The sequence below is a fragment of the Homo sapiens genome, chromosome 11, assembly GCF_000001405.40.
Source record: "Homo sapiens chromosome 11, GRCh38.p14 Primary Assembly".
Taxonomy (NCBI): Eukaryota; Metazoa; Chordata; class Mammalia; order Primates; family Hominidae; genus Homo; species Homo sapiens.
The window spans coordinates 121,061,995-121,081,742 of NC_000011.10; the positions used below are offsets into that span (position 1 = coordinate 121,061,995).

A 19,748-nucleotide genomic window follows, 5' to 3' on the forward strand; every position below is an offset into this window, starting at 1 on the left:
AACATTGTACAGCTGTACCAAAGCATTTTGTTCATATCTTTATTCTATAAGCATTATTTTTAAAATTTTATTTTTCTACTTTTTAAATTTTTTTTTTAATTGAAAATGAAGCCACAAACACACAAAACACTATCCTGATCCTGATGGTCAGGATCAATATCACTATCTTCCACCTTCACATCTTTTCTCACTAGAAGGTCATCAGGGCAGTGACATATATGGAGTCTTTATCTCCTATGATAGTAGTGCCTTCCTCTGGAATACCTCCTGAAAGACCTGCCTGAGGCTGTTTTACAGTTAATTTCTTTTTTTTATAAGTAGGAGTACACCTGAAATAATGATAAATAGTATAATAAATCCGTAAGCCAGTAACATGGTCATTGATTATCCAGTATTATGTACTGTACATAATTTTATGTGCTGTACATTTATACAGCAGTGTAGTAAGTTTGTTTATACCAGCGTCACTCAAGTGCTTGAGTTATATGTTGCGTTATGATGCTAAGATGTCACAGCTGCATTGTAATCTTATGGGACCACTGTTGTATCTGTGGTCCATTGTTGACCAAAATGTCTTCATGTGGCACCTAACTGTACAGTGAATTGTTTTCTGTCCCTGATGGTATAATTATCCTAAGTGCATTTATACTTCTGTACTAGTTGGTGTTCTTGAATGCGAGTCATAGAAACCAGCTTTGATTAACTTTATTCAGGAAAGGAATTTATTGAAAGACTACTGGGAAATGAAAATAATTGTTAGGTAGGATGGAAAACCAACTTTAGACAGGAACCAAGGGAGTCAAGGATAGATACAGTTTGAACTCTTGTTGTGCTTCATATATTGCTGCTGGCACTGTCATCTCTAGACACCACATGCTGGACTTTACCACTGGACACTTGCAGCTGCATCATTGGACTTTTTATTCCCTCATGAGTGCTGAAAATAATCTCTCACTGTCCTTTTTTTTCTCCATTTAAAAAATATTTACTAAGTACTTACCATGTGACTAGCAGTGTTGTTGGTGCAGTTAATAGAAGTGAACAAAGTTCCTACCTTCATGGAGCTCATATTCTAATGGGATTTCTCACTCGCCTTTACTTCATTCCCCAAGAATCAAAAATCTGCATGGGACCAACTGGCTATGTTTAGGACATGTATTCATACCCCATCTCAAGATATAGGGAGGTGGATTATCTGCTCCATTTTAGCTTCTGCAGGTGGGGTAAAATCTTGTTTCCTCTGATCTTGGGACTTTCACTCAAATAGGAACAATTCAGAAAAAAAAAATAGTAAGTGTTACTGTCTTCTACTAGGACTCTTCAATATCTACGCATACATTTTCCCCATAGTTATATTTTTAAAAATTATTCTTATCTGCCCTAATGCATTCCTTGCACAAATGAAAATACATTTCTCTCTCCTTAAATGACATAACCTAAATCTTATGAATTGCTGCATCTAGTTCCCAGTCTTGGATGTTTGGGTGGTATTCATTTCTCCTTTATTTCCATATCTTTAAATCTATTGATCCAGTTGTAAACTTAACTACCCTGGTATATAGTGTTTACAGAATAATGGGAAAAATAGAGAAGAAAGAAAAGGAAAGTTAAAGTTCACAAGCAATTACATGAAACAGGAAAGAACAACATATAAATATGGACTGATGCTCTCATTTTTCTACACTGGGGCTATAATTGGTATTTACGACTTCCCTCTTCCATTATTTGCCTTTTTTTCTTCGCTTGCACCTAACTTTGCCTGCACATAACTTTGTTGGACAGTGTTCTGTACCTGTTTGTTGGGGGAGAGGGGTGGATCTCAATCTTTTCTGGTAGAATCTACACTTTTGGAAGTTTTACTTGTATTTGGTTTTAGTAGTCTTAGATTAATCTACTTTTTACCACTAGTCCTGGTAATACCAGGAGATACCACCAGGGTTCCATCCACACTCGTATATTACCCCTCTTGTATTTCTCCTTGACAGTCAAGATTACTTATCTTAGCTGACAAGCTCATTTTTAAGTGGGGCTTGTGGGTAGGGGATGATTTTTCCTAGTAATTTGTAGAACTTAAATTCAGTACTTGGAAGTCTCAGCTTCCAGTTGGAATAATTGTTGTAGCACTAGTGCAGACATGCCTTTGGGTTCTAAAGCCGCTAAACCTAGGAATATGAAATAAGAGTTTTGCAAGTTAGTCACTAGATGTAATCATGAGCTGTATTGTGTTTTTCACATTTACCCTTGAGTTTGCAGACCTGTCTACTCTTACAAAGGATAACTGGTATCACTTTTGTTCTTCAAGACCCGTACTTAATGAAGAGTTAAATGGGAATATGATAAGTAGTCATCATCCAGTTTTTAGTGGTGGCAATGTCTTTCTGTTTCCTTTTAGGGAAGTGGTGTTGCTTTTGCTTTAGTGTTTTTGTTGAAACAGATTCACAGACCACCTATTTATTCTAATCCTAAAGATTCCAGGACCAATTAGCTATTGGAAAAGATTCATGCATTCAGACTATTTTACTTACTGTTCTGGCCTTGCTATTTATATAATTATGCCTACTTTCCTATGCACTAGTGGTTCAATGCCACTGCTTGGTCTCTTCCATCCTTCATTAAATTGAAATGGCAACCTGATTTCAGTGTCTCCTATCTGCATCCCTGACCTGTAAAGTGTTTTCAGATATATGGGTGCTCTACTTCCTAATATATTTTCAAGGTCTTGGAGTAGGAAATGTCTTCTGGGTCCTTTTAGGATTTGTAACGGAGAACAGGTAGAAGGACATGAGTGACACAATAATAATTATAATCTCCATTATCATACTTATTTTCTTTTTAATTTTTTTTTCTTTTGAGGAGGAGTCTCACTCTGTCGCCCAGGCTGGAGTGCAGTGGTGCAATCTCGGCTCATTGCAAGCTCTGCCTCCCGGGTTCACACCATTCTCCTGCTCAGCCTCCCGAGTAGCTGGGACTACAGGCGCCCGCCACCACGCCCAGCTAATTTTTTTGTATTTTTAGTGGAGACGGGGTTTCACCATGTTAGCCAGGATGGTCTTGATCTCCTGACCTCGTGATCCGCCTGCCTCGGCCTCCCAAAGTGCTGGGATTATAGGTGTGAGCCATTGCACCCGGCCCATACTTATTTTCTGTACGTTTTTCCATATAAATAACTAAAGCCTTGCAATTATTTTGGTGTTTTGTAATTAACCCTACTGAGCATGCTGTTATCTGAGCTAGTAGAGCAAAGTGAACGGGAATAAGTTTATTCTTGGAAGAAAATTCTCTCAGGCAGGGGGATTTTACTGCCTCTGCAAGCAAGAAAAGATCAGTTTCATTTGCCAGGGGAAGAGGGGCTACCCAGTTAGCAAGGGGGGCCTAAGTGAGAATTAGAGATTGAGGATACTCTTAACTCATCTCCTCAGAATCCTCCTGTATACCTCCATTCCAATTCTCCTTCTTTCTGTTTTCTAATCAATTCTGCAACATATATGTAATAGTCTCAATATGTATGCAAATTTAAGGGACTTATAATTCAGCAACCTAGAGCATCAAACCCTGTGCATTTGTGTTTCTGGTTACATCAGCTCTATTTTTGTAAGAGAAAAAAGATCATTTTATTAACAGTACCTGCATTTCAGTCTGTGCCTAAAGCCTAGTTTATGGGGATTTGACCTTAACATTTTCTGTATTTAAGCTATCTTGTATCCTTAGAATAGCAGATGCTCTACCTCATAGTTTTGAATTCTTCATGCCCTGCATATTGTTCTTTTCTCAACAGCACTCTCTAAATCACCAGCACAGCACAGCACTCTCTAAAACAGTCCATGTGACCACAGGTGATAATTGTTTCATTACTCCATGTCGAGGGCTTACAGAATCCCTTCAACACTAATATGATATTTACTGGCCTCTTCTAGGCCAGAAACCAATCCTAAATTACCCTTACTTACCTGAGGAACTATTGCCTCTAATCCACTCCTTGGTACCAGTTTCTTAGTGCAAACAACAGAAATCAATTCTGGCCAACCAAGGTAGAAGAGGAATTTAGTAAAAGAATAATGAATACTGTGTGGCTTACATAATAGAAAAGATTAGAAAATTAAGTTTGAGCAGGATTGATGGGAAGCAGGGTACAGCCAAGGTTTCTGTATCTCGCTATACAAACAATATGCTTCTGACACTGGTCATTTTACAGTCATTAGTAAGTTGCTGGACTTCATTGCCCTCAGACACTTAAAGCCGTGCTTTGACTTCTTTGCTGTTCTGTATCTTGTGAATAATCTCTGTTAGACCTTGTGTCCTTGCATTACTCCTTAAGAGTTAAAATCCCAGTTATAGTTAGACAGGCTTATATCAGCTTCCCATGTTCTAGCTTCCAAGGAATGGAGAAAGAGAATATCTACTCCTCTTCAGTTTGTATAGTAGGAAGTGGTTCCTGCATCTTACCTATCTTTGGTTTTCTACCAATCAGAAGGGCATTCAGATGCTGGACAGCCAAAGTTGGCATATATCTACTATAGTACCTGTTCCTTAGTAGTTGTTGATACAAGTCCCCTGTGGAATTACCCATTTACTCAGCAAATGTCTTTTGAGCCCTTGCAGTATGCCAGGAACTGTTAGGCTTTTAAAAAGGAACTATAATAGTATTCATGCTGATGGCCAGAGTGAGTGGCGAATAACAACAGAGGAGTTGCATTAAAATGTATTTGTTATGAAATAACGATATATAAACAGAGTATTAGTATTATACTTATCTCTTTCTCTTCCAAATTATATCCATAATCTCTCCCTAAAATGTCAATGAATAGCACATAGTACTGTGTATAGTTAGTAAAAGGTGGAATTTGACCCTCTACATCATTCAGTGTCTCATATAAAATTGAGCTTTAGTTTCCAGGTAGGATGGAGGTATCCATTTATTTAAAGAAAAACATTCTTTTTCATTTAATGAAATTTTTTTAAAAATCAGTGTTCAGCTCAATTTTCCTGTAAATTCTAACTTCCACTACAGCCTTCCTAGCTCGGTTCCCCGAGCTTTTCTTCCTCCTTTTATTTTCCTCTCGTGTCAGTTAAACATGAAATAGCTCTAATTAACTTTAACATAAAGTAAGAAAAGTTACCCAAAATGTCTTTGAGGTTATGAATAAAGAGCCGACATGATGAGCCGAATGTCCTTTATGGTAGCAAAGTTATTTTGTGTGTCAGTTGGATTATTTACACACATCTGTTTCTATGTGATTAGTCATTTTGGCAATAAAAGACTTTAAAGAGGATCCAGAGATTCACATACCTGTTTTCCTATCCCAGGATGAAATGCAAAATCTGAATCATTTGAATTTTTATGATGAAAAGAGTAAAATGTTTAGGAGACTGAAGGGAGACATACTTATTAAGAGCTTTATAATTTCTTACAGGTGCTCAATTATCCTTTTTATTGCCTTCTGATAGGTAGAGCTGGAAGTTTAGCCTCTCTGCTCTAGCTGCTTATGGCAATAATGGACTAACAAAAAACTGAGCAATCAGCCATATGTCTCATGTTTATTTACTTTGTGAAACAAGAGAAGAGGAAAAATCTCTGTTTTCTGATTCTTGGCCTTTGACCATCATACTGTTTGCTTTTCCAGTCAATGGACTCTTTTCTTTTAAAGCCGTCATCTGTGCCGTGTTTCTTAGTGGCTTATATAGCAGTGGTGTGATATGCTGTTTCCAGATAAGTTCAGTGTGTACTGCAGGTAGCTGGAAAGATGTCCTTACTGGGCTGGTCATATTTCAGTTATTAGACTCTCAGGCCTTACCAGGAGAACTTCTAGGAAATAACTCTAGATTCTAGCTGGGTTTCAAAGGACAGTTTAATTTATTTACTGAATACCTACTAAGGACCAAGAGGCACTGGGCTTCAAGCTAGAGATAAAGAGACAAAAACAGTAGTGTCTACTCTCAAGAAGCTAAGCTAGAGATATATTTCCTTTGCTGGGCCCTCTTCATGTTCCCAACCTCTAAAACTTGAGTTACCCCAGGACTTAGTCCTTGGACCTCTTCTCTTCTGTACTCATCCCCCACACACTTTTAGCCAGTCCCGAGGCTTTCAGTGCTTTCTGTATTCTGATAACTGCCAGATGTATACATGCAGCTGTGATCTGCCTCTAAATTCCAGACGGCGCTTTCCAGCTGCCTGCTTGATGCCTCTGCCTGGATGTTTAAACCTAGTGTGTCCAAAACTCAACTTTCGATACCCTCCCTTTTCCCTTACCCTGCCTCCCTCACCCCTAGCCCCCTGTGCCATAGCTACTGCTCTGCCAGTTTTTCTCCTTTTTTCAATTATTCCAGTTGCTCAGGGAAAAAACACTGGAGTCATTCTTGATTTTTTTTCTCCCACACCCCACATCTGGTCTGTTTTTTTTTTCTTTCAGTTCTACTTTCAAAACCTATGTATAGAATCTGACTACTGCTTCCTATCATTTTAGTCCAAATCCTTCATCATATCTTACTTGTGTTATTGTAGTAGCCTACTGACCAGTCTCCCTGAGTCCACCCTTGCTCCCTTAAGGCCCGTGCATCTCATAGCAGCCTGTTTCTAAGAACTCAAGTTGATTTTTAAAAAAACAACAGAGGCTGGGCGCAGTGGCTCATGCCTGTAATCCCACCACTTAGGGAGGCCAAGGTGTGCAGATCATCTGAGGTCGGGAGTTCAAGACCAGCTTGACCAACATGGAGAGACCCTGTCTCTACTAAAAATACAAAAAAAATTACTTAGGCATGGTAGTGCATACCTGTAATCCCAGCTACTCTGGAGGCTGAGGGAGGAGAATCACTTGAACCCGAGAGGCGGAGGTTGCGGTGAGCTGAGATCACACCACTGCACTGCAGCCTGGGTGACAGAGCAAGGCTCCGTCTCAAAAAAAAAAAAAAAACAGACAAAAAACAGAAACTGTCCTTACTGTTCCTGACACACTTCAAGCACACTCCCTCCTCAGGCCTTTGCACTTTGTTCCCTGTTGAGAATGCACCAGGCTACCTGCTTCATTCTCTCCCTCGCTGACACCTTATCCGAGATTCCTTCTCTCCTCACCCAGTCTAAAATAGCACACCTCTGTCTCCTATAATTCTCTTAACCTCCTTTTGTTAATATTTTTCTTGTCACTTATCAACACCTGAGTTACATTTCTTGTATATTGTCAATCTCCCCCCATGGTACTGTAAGCTCTATAGGAGTAGGGACTGTTTCTGTTTTGTACCTTGCCATCTCCCCAGTGCCTAGAGCGGTGCCTGGCAGTATAGCAACTGTTCAGTAAGATGATTGAATATTCGCTTTATACTCTGAGAACACTAAGGAGGACTTAGGTCTGCTGGAAGAGGGTACTTTCCTGGAAAATGATTGAGTTAATCTGGTGACGATGAGGGAAGAATATTCTAGACAGATGTGAGTACATGGGAAGTAAAGGTACAGAGGTATGAAATGTCTTTATGTGCAGTGAACTACAACAATTTGATATGACTAGTGAAAAGTAGTAAGTGGGAGCTGGGCACAGTGGCTCACTCCTGTAATCCCAGCACTTTGGGAGGCCGAGGTGGGTGGATCACTTGAAGTTAGGAGTTCGAGACCTGCCTGGCCAACATGGTGAAACCCCATTTCTACTAAAAATACAAAAAATTAGTCAGGCGTGGTGGTGCATGCCTGTAGTCTCAGCTACTGGAGAGACTGAGGCAGGATAATCACTTGAACCTGGGAGGCAGAGGTTGTAGTGAGCCAAGATTGTGCCGCTGCACTCCAGCCTGGGCGACAAAGCTAGACTGTCTGAAAAAAAAAAAGTAGTTAATAACTGGGAAGTAATGATACATATTATGCTGGGGAGGAAGGTAGGAAACAGGGCAGTCCGTGAAAGACTTTGGTATGCTGTGCTCGGACAGTAGGGCTTATTCTTATAGACAGTGGGAAACCATTGAAAGGTTTCAAGTTGGGAAGTTAAGTGGAGAGATTTTGGTTTGTATATAGAAGAAGAAGCTGAACAAATTTACAAGAAAAAATCAACCCCATCAAAAAGTGGGCAAAAGATATGAACAGACACTTCTCAAAAGAAGACATTTATGCAGCCAAAAGACACATGAAAAAATGCTCATCATCACTGGCCATCAGAGAAATGCAAATCAAAACCACAATGAGATACCATCTCACACCAGTTAGAATGGCGATCATTAAAAAGTCAGGAAACAACAGGTGCTGGAGAGGATGTGGAGAAATAGGAACACTTTTCCATACTTGGTGGGAGTGTAAACTAGTTCAACCATTGTGGAAGACAGTGTGGCGATTCCTCAAGGATCTAGAACTAGAAATACCATTTGACCCAGTGATCCCATTACTGGGTATATACCCAAAGGATTATAAATCATGCTACTATAAAGACACATGCACATGTATGTTTATTGTGGCACTGTTCACGATAGCAAAGACTTGGAACCAATCCAAATGTCCATCAGTGATAGACTGGATTAAGAAAATGTGGCACATATACACCATGGAATACTATGCAGCCATAAAAAAGGATGAGTTCATGTCCTTTGTAGGGACTTGGATGAAGCTGGAAACCATCATTCTTAGCAAACTATCGCAAGGACAGAAAACCAAACAGCGCATGTTCTCACTCATAAGTGGGAATTGAACAATCAGAACACTTGGACACAGGGCAGGGAACATCACACACGGGGGCCTGTTGTGGGATTCGGGGAGGGGGGAGGGATAGCATTAGGAGAAATACCTAATATAAATGACAAGTTAATGGGTGCAGCACACCAACATGGCACATGTTTGCACGTTGTGCACATGTACCCTAGACCTTAAAGTATTTAAAAAAAAAAAAAAGGCAGCAGCTGAGAGAGACCCAGAGACTTAAAAACTGAGACTAGTAAAGGAGGATATGTGTGGTGGAGATTGCTTATGTCTTTTTAGAGAGATTATGTGTATTAAGACTGAATTTCACTCTAGAATTTGAACTGGTCCTCAGAAAACACATCGTGAAGTTGTACTTGTTGTCTGGTATTTATAGCCCTGATTTCTCTGAGGGTATAGAAATATCATTTAGAGAGAAAGAAACCTCCATGTTTGTGGGTCTGGCACATAGTCAAGTGTACATGTTTATTATTTTTGCCTTGCCCTTGATCAGATGTCTATCCACATTGCTTGTATTTTTCAGTGTTCCCTTCATTTTGTGTTTACTTTCTCTCTCCATTTCCTCTGATAGATTGAATCTAAATTGCTTCTTTAGTGCTTACCTAATACACAGTCATCCTCTTTAATTTTAAAGAGAAAAAAAATGCAACTTTTAGAAGTCAGCATATCATGTATCTTTGGGAACTCAATGATTTCTTTTTGTTTTTGAGGGCAGTGGTAGGAAGTAAATGCATTGATTTAGGGTGCCTTTTCAGACTTTAAAATTTTGCTTATCATAAGGAGGAGTCTTAAAATAGCTCCAGTGAACAATTATTTGATGGAAAGAGGAAGTACCATTGTCAGAGACGGTGGCAATGCCAGAAACAGGTTTTCTTAGAGGCTTTTCTTTGCCTTTTCTTTTCTTTGGTACCTTATTTTCTGTTTGTCCCAAGTAATCCCTAAACTATGTCCTGGGAAATCCTTTATGATGGCAAGGATTACATTAGGAATTCCTCAAATGCTGATTTGATTGTCATTAGTGGTATGCTTTTTAAAATATGGAGAGTATGTTTTTCCCTGCTTAAGACTAATGGCTTTTCTAAATAGAGCTGATTGTATCTCCATGTTATTGTGAGAGCAGGCAGCAGCCTGTATTTGGACACCACCTCAATGAAGGCTTATTTTGTCTTGGATGCTGGAGAAATCTTAGTGTGCTGTGTCCGTTACCTCATATTCCTTCCAGACAGAGGACCTGCTGTTGTGAAGGAACATTTCTATACTGGACATGAGTCTCCTGGGGTTCTCCATATTGCCATGCTCCATCATCCTCTGACAAGGGCCGTGACACAGCACTCCTAGCACTCCTCACATTCAGCCGTGAGTCTGAGGAGAAACAAAAGGGGCATTCTCCTTCGTGCACCATGGAGAGCCTCTGAAATGTTAGCTTTCCCTGTTGCTTACAGCCTTTGTCATTCCAGTTACCTTGGACTTTATTTTGACTTCTTGCCACTTTCCCAGCCCAGCAGAAGGCAAACTACCTTCCTAATCTTGATTGGAGTCATATACAAGTATTTGGATATACTTGGAAAGGAAAGAGAGAGTGAGAGCCAGTCCTCCCAAATCATGGGCTTGGAGGAAATTTTCTTTGCTGTCTGAACTTTTGTTTTGGCCAGGGCAAGGGGCCAGTTTTATCTTTTTCGTTTTTGTTTGCTTTTTGTCAGTAAAACAATACTAAAAAATATTGAGAGTAATAAAACATTCTTGTTCACACTGTTCAGAACTGATGATAGTTAATATTTTATTCTACTTTATTTTTCATTAAAAAGAAATAATATTATACATAAAATTGGAATAGCTTTTTTCTACTACTCTCAGTCCTATTTCTTACTCCAAGAAGTAACCACCAGCAGAAATTTGATTTGTATGCTTGATGTCTATTTTTCATATTTTATATCTCCATTAAAACATAAAGTAGCATTTTATAATTCTTTATTAGTATGAATTGCTCTGTCTTCCCTCATATTGTGGCTTTTCAACCTGGTCTTTTCACCTCGTATTTTGTTGAAAAAAACTTTAAAATTTTAATGTCTGATTTGTCTATCCTTAACTCTGTGGTTTATTCTTATTGCATCTTTTTAAAGAAACCTGTTTTCCCCCAAAGTTCACGTAAGTTCCTAATTTTTTTCTAAAGGTGTTTTTATATTTATGACTTAAATCTACCTGGAATTACTTTTTATGTATAGTTTCAAATAGAGATCTGGCCCCATATGGATAATTGGTATTTATCACTGATCTGCAATGCCACATCTGTCATATGTCTTATTTTTTGTATGTATGCTTCTGTTTCAGGACCCTGTTCTATTCCATTGGTGTATTTGTCCATCCCTTGTACTATTACAACATTGGTAAATTACTTTATATTAAGTCTTAATTCCCAATAACAGTAAGTTTCCCTACCTTGTTGTTGCTTTTCAGATTGTATTAATTATTGTAGGCCCTTTTCTCTTCTATATGAATTTTAGGATCAGCTTATAAGTTCTATAAAAATCCTGTTGTAATTTGGATTTTGATTACATTGAATTTTATTTACTTACTTGAAGAGAATTTACATTGTGATGCTATTGTATATTCCTATCTGTGAACATAGAATGTTTTTTTCATTTAACTCAGAATATTTTTTATTTCCTTCAGTAATGTTTTCTAATTTTCTTGCAAAGGCCTTTGCATTTTTGTTAAGTTTCTTTTTAGGTATCTTAAACATTTTGTTGCTATTTGAAGTGAAATCATTTTTTCTGTTATCATTTCTAATTGATTATTGTTGCTCTATAGAAATGTCTTTTTTTTATGCTGATCCTGTGTCTGTCAGTCTTACATATAGAGTAGTTAATCTTCATTTTCTTTTGGATTTCTATTTAGACAGTCATATCTATACATAATTTTTATACCTCTTTTTTTTCTTGGATATGACCTCCAGTATAATATTTAAAATGCGCAGTAAAAGAGGTCATCTTTATCTTTCTCCTCACTTGACAGGGAATGCATCTAAAGTTTCAATATGTAGATATGAATGCTGACTTTTGCTATAGGGTTCTGATAGGTTCAGGTGGTTTCTATCTCTATTTTTCTAAGAGTTTCTTTTATTACGAGTAGACATTGAATTTTGTAGAATGTTCTTTTTGCATTGAGATGAGCATATTTTCTTCTGTAAATTTTAATATGATACATTTTCAGGTATTGAACCATTTTTGCATTCCTGGTATATTCAACTTGGTTGGGAAATATTAAATTTTCTTTTTAAACATGTAGAATTTAATTTTATAATGTTATTTGGGATGTTTCCATCTATTTTGATATGTAAAATTGGTCTGTAATTTTTTGTGGTTCTTGTCTGGTTTTATGAAGGTTGTACTAGCTTCAAAATTGAATTGAGTTCGTGATTTCATATTTTCTCTACTAAGTAACTGTTTCATTCAGATTTAAAATTTAATAGTCACTTACGATTTGGGGGTAGGTGTTTTAATTTTTGAATTGTTATATTTAATTTTCATTTGGATGGGCAATACTTCCACATGGAACCTGATTGGAAATTTTAAAAAGGATGTATACTACAAAGTAAGTCTTCTTCCCATTTGTATCCTTAGTAGCTAATCAAGTATTTGGCCCCTAGGCAGCCACTGATACTATTTTCTTGTTATAGTTTCCATCGCTATTTTGTGCGTAATTTTTGTACACAAGTGTTCACAAAACAATACATTCTGTACTCTATGTTTTCTTTTTCATTTAACCATAGATCTTCAATAGCATCTGTGTTGAGGGTCTTTGTGATTTTAAAAATGTACTATATCAATATTCATCTTTTTATTCATAATAATGTCTATTTCTGCCTTTCCATTTTTTCTTAATCAGCCCTGCTAATGACTATCTTTTAGTAGTGTCCTTTGTTTAAAGTCAGATTGATTGAAGTATGTGACATAAATTTTACCCCTTTTAGTGTACATTCCTGAATTTTGACAAACACTACAGTCATAGAACCACCAATATAATCAGAATATAGAACAGTTCCATCATCCAAAAAAATCTCATACTCCTCAACCCTTCTTCCTGACTCCTACCCTCTGGCCACCACTGATCTGTTTTCTGTCCCTGCTGTTTTGATTTTTCCAGAATGTCGGATAAATGGAATCATGTATGTAGTCTCTTTTTAATTGAAATTTTTATTGAGATAATTGTAGATTCACATGCAGTTGCAAGAAAGAATACAGCAAGATCCTGTGTACCCTTCACCTAGTTTCCCTCAATTGTAAAATTTTGCAGAACCACAGTACAGTATCACAACCAGAATCTTAATGTGGATATTGTCCAGTGATCTTACTGAGACTTCTCAAACTAAAACATACACACACACACTCACTTGTGTGAGAACTGTAACATACACACAAGGGCGTGTGTATGTTTTAAGTTCTGTGCACTTTATTGTGTGTGTCTGGAGGACCTCATTCAACATGAATTAAAGCTTACTATATAGTCACAGTAATCAAGAGATTGTGATACTGGTCACAAACATACAGATCAATGGAACAGAAAAGAAAACCAGAAATACACCAAAACAAATATACTTTCCTGATTTCTGAAAAAGGTAGAAAAGCAATGCAGTGGGGAAAAGACAGCTTTTTCAATGGACAGTGCTGAAGCAACTGGATCACTATAGGCAAAAAAAATGAACCTCAACCTAAATCTGTTGAGAAAAGCTTAGTGTTGGGAGAAGCTGAGGCATCATGTTGAATGATTCCTCACACTTTATTCTTCAAGACTGTTTTAGCTATTTTAGGGCCTTTGCCTTTCCATATAAATTTTGGGCTAATTTAGTCTCTGTCTGCAAGAAAACTTTGCTGGAGTTTTGACAGGAATTTTATTAAACTTATAGATGAGTTTGGGGAAGGTTAATATTTTTAGTATGTGAGATCTTCCAGTGCATGAATACAGTATGTCTCTCTGTCTAGACCTTCTCTGATTTCTTCCACTAGCATTTTGTAATTTTCAACGTACAAGTCCTATACATCTTTTATTAGATTTACACCTAAGTACAGTCATGTGTTGCTTAATGACAGGGATACATTCTGAGAAATGCATCATTAGGCGATTTTGTCATGTGAACATCATAAAGTGTACTTACATAAACTTAGATAGTATAGTCTACTACACACCTAGCTTATATGGTACAGTTCATTTTCCTGTGTGGGGTAGGATACGGATTAAGTGTTTTGTTTTGGCGTATGGGTGCCAGTTACTCCAGCAATATTCACTGGTAAGACTATCCTTTTTCTATTGAATTGATTTTATACCTTTGTCAGAAATAAACTAATCATATAGGTGGCCCGTATTTCTGTATTCTGTGTTTATTGACCCATGTCTGTGTCCTTTTGCCAGTACCACACCATCTTGATTACTATAGCCTTATGGTAACTGTTCAATTAAGGTAGTGTGGGTCCTCCAACTTTGATCTTTTTCAGCATGATTTAAGCTGTTCTAATTCCTTGCCTTACATATAAATATTAGGATATGCTTGTTGAAGTCTGTGAAACATTCTTCTGGGATTTTGATTAGCATTGTGTTGAATTTATAGAATAATTTGTCCAGAATTTACATCTTAATAATACTGAGTCTTCCTGTCCATGAACCCAGTATCTCTTTCCATTTATTTAAGTATTTTTTTTAAAAATGGTGTTGTGTATTTTCCACATAAGGATTCTGCACATATTTTGCTACATTTTATTTAAGGATTTCATGTATCTTGGCCCTGTTATAAGTAGTACTGTTTTAAAATTTCAAATTCAGTTGTTCACTGCTAGGCATAGAATTACAATTGGTATTTGTAATTGACTTTGTATTCTACAGCCTTGCTAAATTTATTTATTAATTCTAGTAGATTTTTAATAAATTGTAGACAGTCATATTGTCTGTTACTTAGCACAGTGTATGTCTTCTTTTCCAACCAGTATGACTTTTTACATTTTTGTTGTTTTTTGGACCTTATTACACTGACTTGGACCTCCAATATAGTATCGGAATAGGAGTAGTCATGGCAAACACCTAGCCTTTTTCCCTGTTTAGGAAAAAATCATTCATTACACCACTAAAAGTGATGTTAGCTATAGGTTTTTTTGTTCATGACCTTTATTTGATTAAGGACATTTCCTTCTATTCCAAGTTTGCTGGAGCTTTTCATGAATGGGTGCTGAATTTATTCAAATGCTTCTTCTGCATCTATTGAAAAGTCTATACCATTTTTCTTACTTGATGTATCAATATAGTGAATTATATTAATTGCACTTTTAACCAGCCTTGAATTCCCAAAATAAATCCCACTTGGTTATGATGTAGTATCTTTTTTTATATGTTGGTGAATTTGATTTGCTAATATTTTGTTAAGGATTTTTGTGTTTATGCTTATAAAGGGATATTGGTCTGTAATTTTCTTATAATGTCTTTGTCTTATTTTGATATCAGGGTAGTGCTGGCCTCATTTATAAGTGTTCTTTCCTTTTTTTCTGGAAGAGTTTGTGTAGAACAGTGTTATTTTCTTCTAAGATATTTTGTAGAATTTATCAGTGAAGCCATCTGAGCCTGGTGTTTTCTTTGCTGGAGGTTTTAACTATGAATTAAATTTATTTAATGGACATATAGCATGATTCAAGTTATCTGTTTCTTCTTGAGTGAGCTTTAGTAGTTTGTATTTTTGAAGGAATTCATCCATTTAATTATGCTTGTTGAATTTATGGGCATAAAGTTTTTCATAGTATTTGCTTATCATAAGCCTTTAATGTCTATGTGGTCTGTGGTGATGTTCCCTCTTATAGTGCCAATATTGGCATCATCTTTTCTTAATCAGTCCAGCTAGAGGTTTATCAAATTTGCAAACCTTTTTAAAGAACCAGCTTCGGGTGTTATGAGTTTTCTCTGTTTTATTTGCTATATTTCATTGATTTCTGCTCATATCTTTATTTCTTCCTTCTTGTTGCTTTGGATTTAATTTGCTCATCTTTTTATAGTTTTTTTAAGCATAGATCATTGATTTGAGACTGTTCTTTTCTATTATAATATTTAATTCTATAAATTTTCCTTTAAGTGCTGCTTTAAATACATTCTGTAATTGGGATTTGTTATATTTTAGTTTTCATTGAATTCAGATATTTTCTAATTTATCTTGTGACTTCCTCTTTGACTCATTGGGTTATTTACAAGTATGTTGTTTATTTTCCAGATATTTTCCTTATCTTTCCAGGGATTTTCGTCATCTTTCTGTTAATTATTTCCAGTATAATTTCATTATAGTTAGAGAACGTACGTTTTACTATTTCAATTCTTTTAAAGTCTGTTGTGGTATATTTGAGGTACCTTTCTGGTTTAGAATATGGTCTTTCTTGGTCAGTATCTCATATGCAGTAGAAAAAAATGTGTATTCTGATATTGTTGGTGGGCATGTTTTATAAATACCAGGTCAAGTTGTTAATGTTATTCAGGTCTTTTATATCATTAACAGTTTTCTGTCTGCCGGTTTTATCAATTACTGAGAGGAGTATTGATTTCTCCAACAATAATTGTGAATTTGTTTATTTTTATTTGTTGTTCTACCAGTTTTTGCTTCATTATTTTTTGTGTACATATCTGTTTTTAGATACATATGCATTTTGGATTGTTACGTCTTTCTGCTGGAGCTCGTCTCTCCCTGTCTAATGGTTTTGCATTTGCCTCTAAGCAGCTCCCCTAACTCCTGGTCCAGAACCAGCTCTTATAATGGAATTTGGAGAACCTGTCCTGCAGTAATTACAGAGCTAGTGCATATTCCTAGTCTTAAGCACCAAGTGATTTAATTCAGTTCCTGGTGGTGGAGCTATCTTTTTATTCCTTTACTTATTAGAACCATTGCTCTACAAAGGTAGCCTTAGGCAGTGGATCTGCAGGAGTTTTCTTTTTTTCATCCTCATTTCATGCACAGCCTCTCATCACTCAATTCTACCCCTACTTCAAGCAGGGAACCTGTCTGTAGTTCCCCTGCCTCCCATGAAGCACATTCCATCTCCTTTGCCTTGTATGACCTGAACTCCTTACTGCTTCTGCTGCTCTAGATTTCTAGCCTGGAGGTCTTGTAGTTTTAGTTCTATGATTTGTATTTCTGTTCAGTTTCTGGTCCATGGAGATGCTTATCATTTTTGAGACTGGCTATATCTTCTTAGATTTCAGCCTTTTACATTTTATCAATTTTTACTCTATGTTTGGAGCAAAAGTGCATCATGTTGATAAATGTGGATTAAAATCATTCTTTTAACTGCTGTATAGTATTCTATCATATGAATAGATCACATTCTGTTTATCCATTACTAGATGATTTTTGATAGCACTTGAATTTAAGAAATAGTTGAAACAAATGTAGTTCCATGACTTAAGCTCTGTTGAAAAACTAAATGGAAAATACTAAATTCACTTCAAGATACTTTGCTATATGTGTGAAAGGTGACATTAAATAATTCTGGAGGTAGGTGAAATGCAGATATTTGGGGAAGACAAGTGGGAAACATCTATGGCTTCAGGTAAGTAGGAGAATGAGCTCTGTGATGGAACTCATAAAAAGAAAAGAGAGCCCAGGAGTGAATTTTTAGGACTCCCCAAGTGTAGGTGATAATAAGAGAAATGAGAACCCTTGAAGAGAGATTGAATGGGGACATTTGAAATGTAGGAATGAGAAAATAATTTCTAGAACAGTATTTATTATTGCAGCAAACCACTAAGATGATGAAACTAAAACAGTGATAGATAGTCTCAGAATAAAACCTGAGTTGTAATCTCCACCCTTCCTTTCACTAGCTATGAGGCTTTGGGTTAACAAACTGGGTCTCAATTTTTACATCTGTAAATTATGTAATAGATGGTTTCTAAGATTCCTCCTACCTATAAAATGTGATGCTTATGTGTTTTAATAAGTGGAATGTTGGTGACCTTGAGAAATCCTTGAGTAGGTTGTCAAGTCCCAGTTGTAGAATGTTTCTTTGATGTCCCAGGATATGATGCCACATCAAAAGTGAGAAAGCATACTATAGCAAGAGACATTAGAAAACAGCAGTCAGAAGATGTTTTGAATGTACTTTTGAATCCCTCCCAATGCCTTGGGAAACAAACTCGATAAATGTTTTGTTTTTTTTGAAACGGAGTCTCACTCTGTCACCCAGGCTGGAGTGCAGTGGTGCAATCTCGGCTCACTGCAACCTCCACCTCCCCGGTTCAAGCAATTCTCCTGCCTTAGCTTCCTGAGTAGGTGGGATTACAGGCGCACACCACCACGTCTGGCTATTTTTTTTGTATTTTTACTAGAGACGGGGTTTCACCATGTTGGCCAGACTGGTCACAAACTCTTGACCTCAGGCAGTCCACCCACCTTGACCTCTGAAAGTGCTGGGATTACAGGTGTGAGCCACCATGCCTGGCCGTATTTTTCTTTTAGTTAATTAAACTTCAAGATTTGGTTTAACCAAGTGAACCATCTGGGATTTTTCATGTTTTGTTTGTTACATTTCTTAAAGAGAGAGATGTATGTATTAGGGATTTATTTGGAAGTAATATAGCATTACCTAGAGTAAAGACTTCGGTTGATTCAATGTGTGTCTGCATTTCAGGAATGATAGATTAACAGAATTGTTAACTTGAGACTACTATGTAAGCTACCCATGAATACACCTCTAGACAGTTGTAAGGGATAAATAGAGTATTTCTGGGATATTTATGATCCCATTGTTGCGTAGCCACCTGCAGAAAATGTAAATCCCCTTATTTTTCTCTAGGATACTCCTAAAGATTGTGAATTTGGAGATTTGATGTCCAAATCTGAATGCCTTCGCCATTGGAAAGTCCCTGATTCTAGACAAAGTTTCATTTTACAATTTCCTAAAAATTATGTAAAATATATACTTTGTTTTATTTAGTTAGGATCGTTTATAAGGCTAATCAAACCTGAGAAAAAATTAATGTTTGTTTTAGGTTTTATAATAAATAGAAACACAGACTAAGACATATGGCAGGAACCTGTAGTCTTTTTCAAATAGTGTACCACATCTTCCTATTCTGGAGTACATGTGACTGAATTGTGATTGAGGAAATGCCCCCAGGTCTTGGGAATCAAGAGTGAGGATTGGCAAGATGGAGAAACAGGCATACCTCTCCTAAAAATGACCACCGTGCTACTAAAATCTGCTGTTATGTAACATTAGACAGGTGTGCCATGGACCAGGACCTGAGTGTATGAAGGCTTGCTTATTTGCACTGGGAGTAGAGCTAGCCTGGTTCCACCACAGGTGGCTTCATTCTCTGTTCCCCTCTTTGTTAGTATCACCTTCAACCCCACACTGCTGGTAGCCTGATTTCTAACTGCTTATGATTCAAAGACCCCTAAGGTTGAAAGAAGCTTTTCTCTCAGTGGGTGTTTTTATTTAATAAGAAGGGGGAAAAAACACACCAGTTTGCTTGTGGGTGGTATTCTTCACAAGGTTGCAGCTAGCATTTGGTTTCCATTTATCACTCTCAGTTGCCCACGTGGTTATGCTGGCCTTTATGCTGTTTGTAGTAAATTTTTTTTTACTTGTGATTGGCCATTTTCTGTTAGAAGGTCATGGTGGAATGGACCAGAGAACTTCTGAACACAAATACGGCGTACTTTACATTTTAGCATTTGATGATTGTAATACATCCTTATCGGTAATATTTTCCAAAGTAGGTTTATAACACTTTGCACACTTCAGAAGTGGGGCTTATGAATATTAAATACTTGTTAATGGTCAGATGAAGATACTGATTGGTAGAATATAAATCAAAATCATTAATTTCAGAGAATGCTTAGTCAGCAGAAACCATCTACCTCTTCAGAGTATACTTCAGGAAGACATTGGAACTAATGCTAAGAAAAGCTCAGGCATGCAATGCATGCAGTATAGTTCAGTTTGGATGGACTTTTGCATAATGAATAAAATATATAAGCTGAAAGACTAGGAGAGAATTGCTTTCTCAAATTTACTGGATATTTTGTAAAATCATGATTTCTTATATTTACTAATCTTTCCTG

The 19,748-nt window shown here is 36.8% G+C and overlaps 2 protein-coding genes across 4 annotated transcripts in view, besides 2 other annotated features; both read left to right on the forward strand.

The window, feature by feature from the left end:
* The window catches only part of TBCEL-TECTA (TBCEL-TECTA readthrough), a 167,389-nt gene that overhangs the window by 37,893 nt on the left and 109,748 nt on the right, over positions 1-19,748 (forward strand). The gene's annotated exons all lie outside the window — the stretch shown is intronic.
* TBCEL (tubulin folding cofactor E like) overlaps positions 1-19,748 on the forward strand; it is a 66,675-nt gene that overhangs the window by 37,893 nt on the left and 9,034 nt on the right. The window lies entirely within an intron of this gene.
* Positions 5,523-5,667: an enhancer, noted in NCBI's record as "145 bp enhancer 256 fragment used in the MPRA reporter construct; PK_construct_1669". NCBI's record gives its function as "activates an SV40 promoter by MPRA in HepG2 cells {active_cell/tissue: HepG2}" and the evidence as "EXISTENCE:reporter gene assay evidence [ECO:0000049][PMID:23512712]".
* Positions 5,588-5,601: a transcriptional cis regulatory region, noted in NCBI's record as "HNF4 motif; enhancer activity is reduced when this motif is scrambled". NCBI's record gives its function as "necessary for full MPRA enhancer 256 activity {active_cell/tissue: HepG2}" and the evidence as "EXISTENCE:site-directed mutagenesis evidence [ECO:0005528][PMID:23512712]".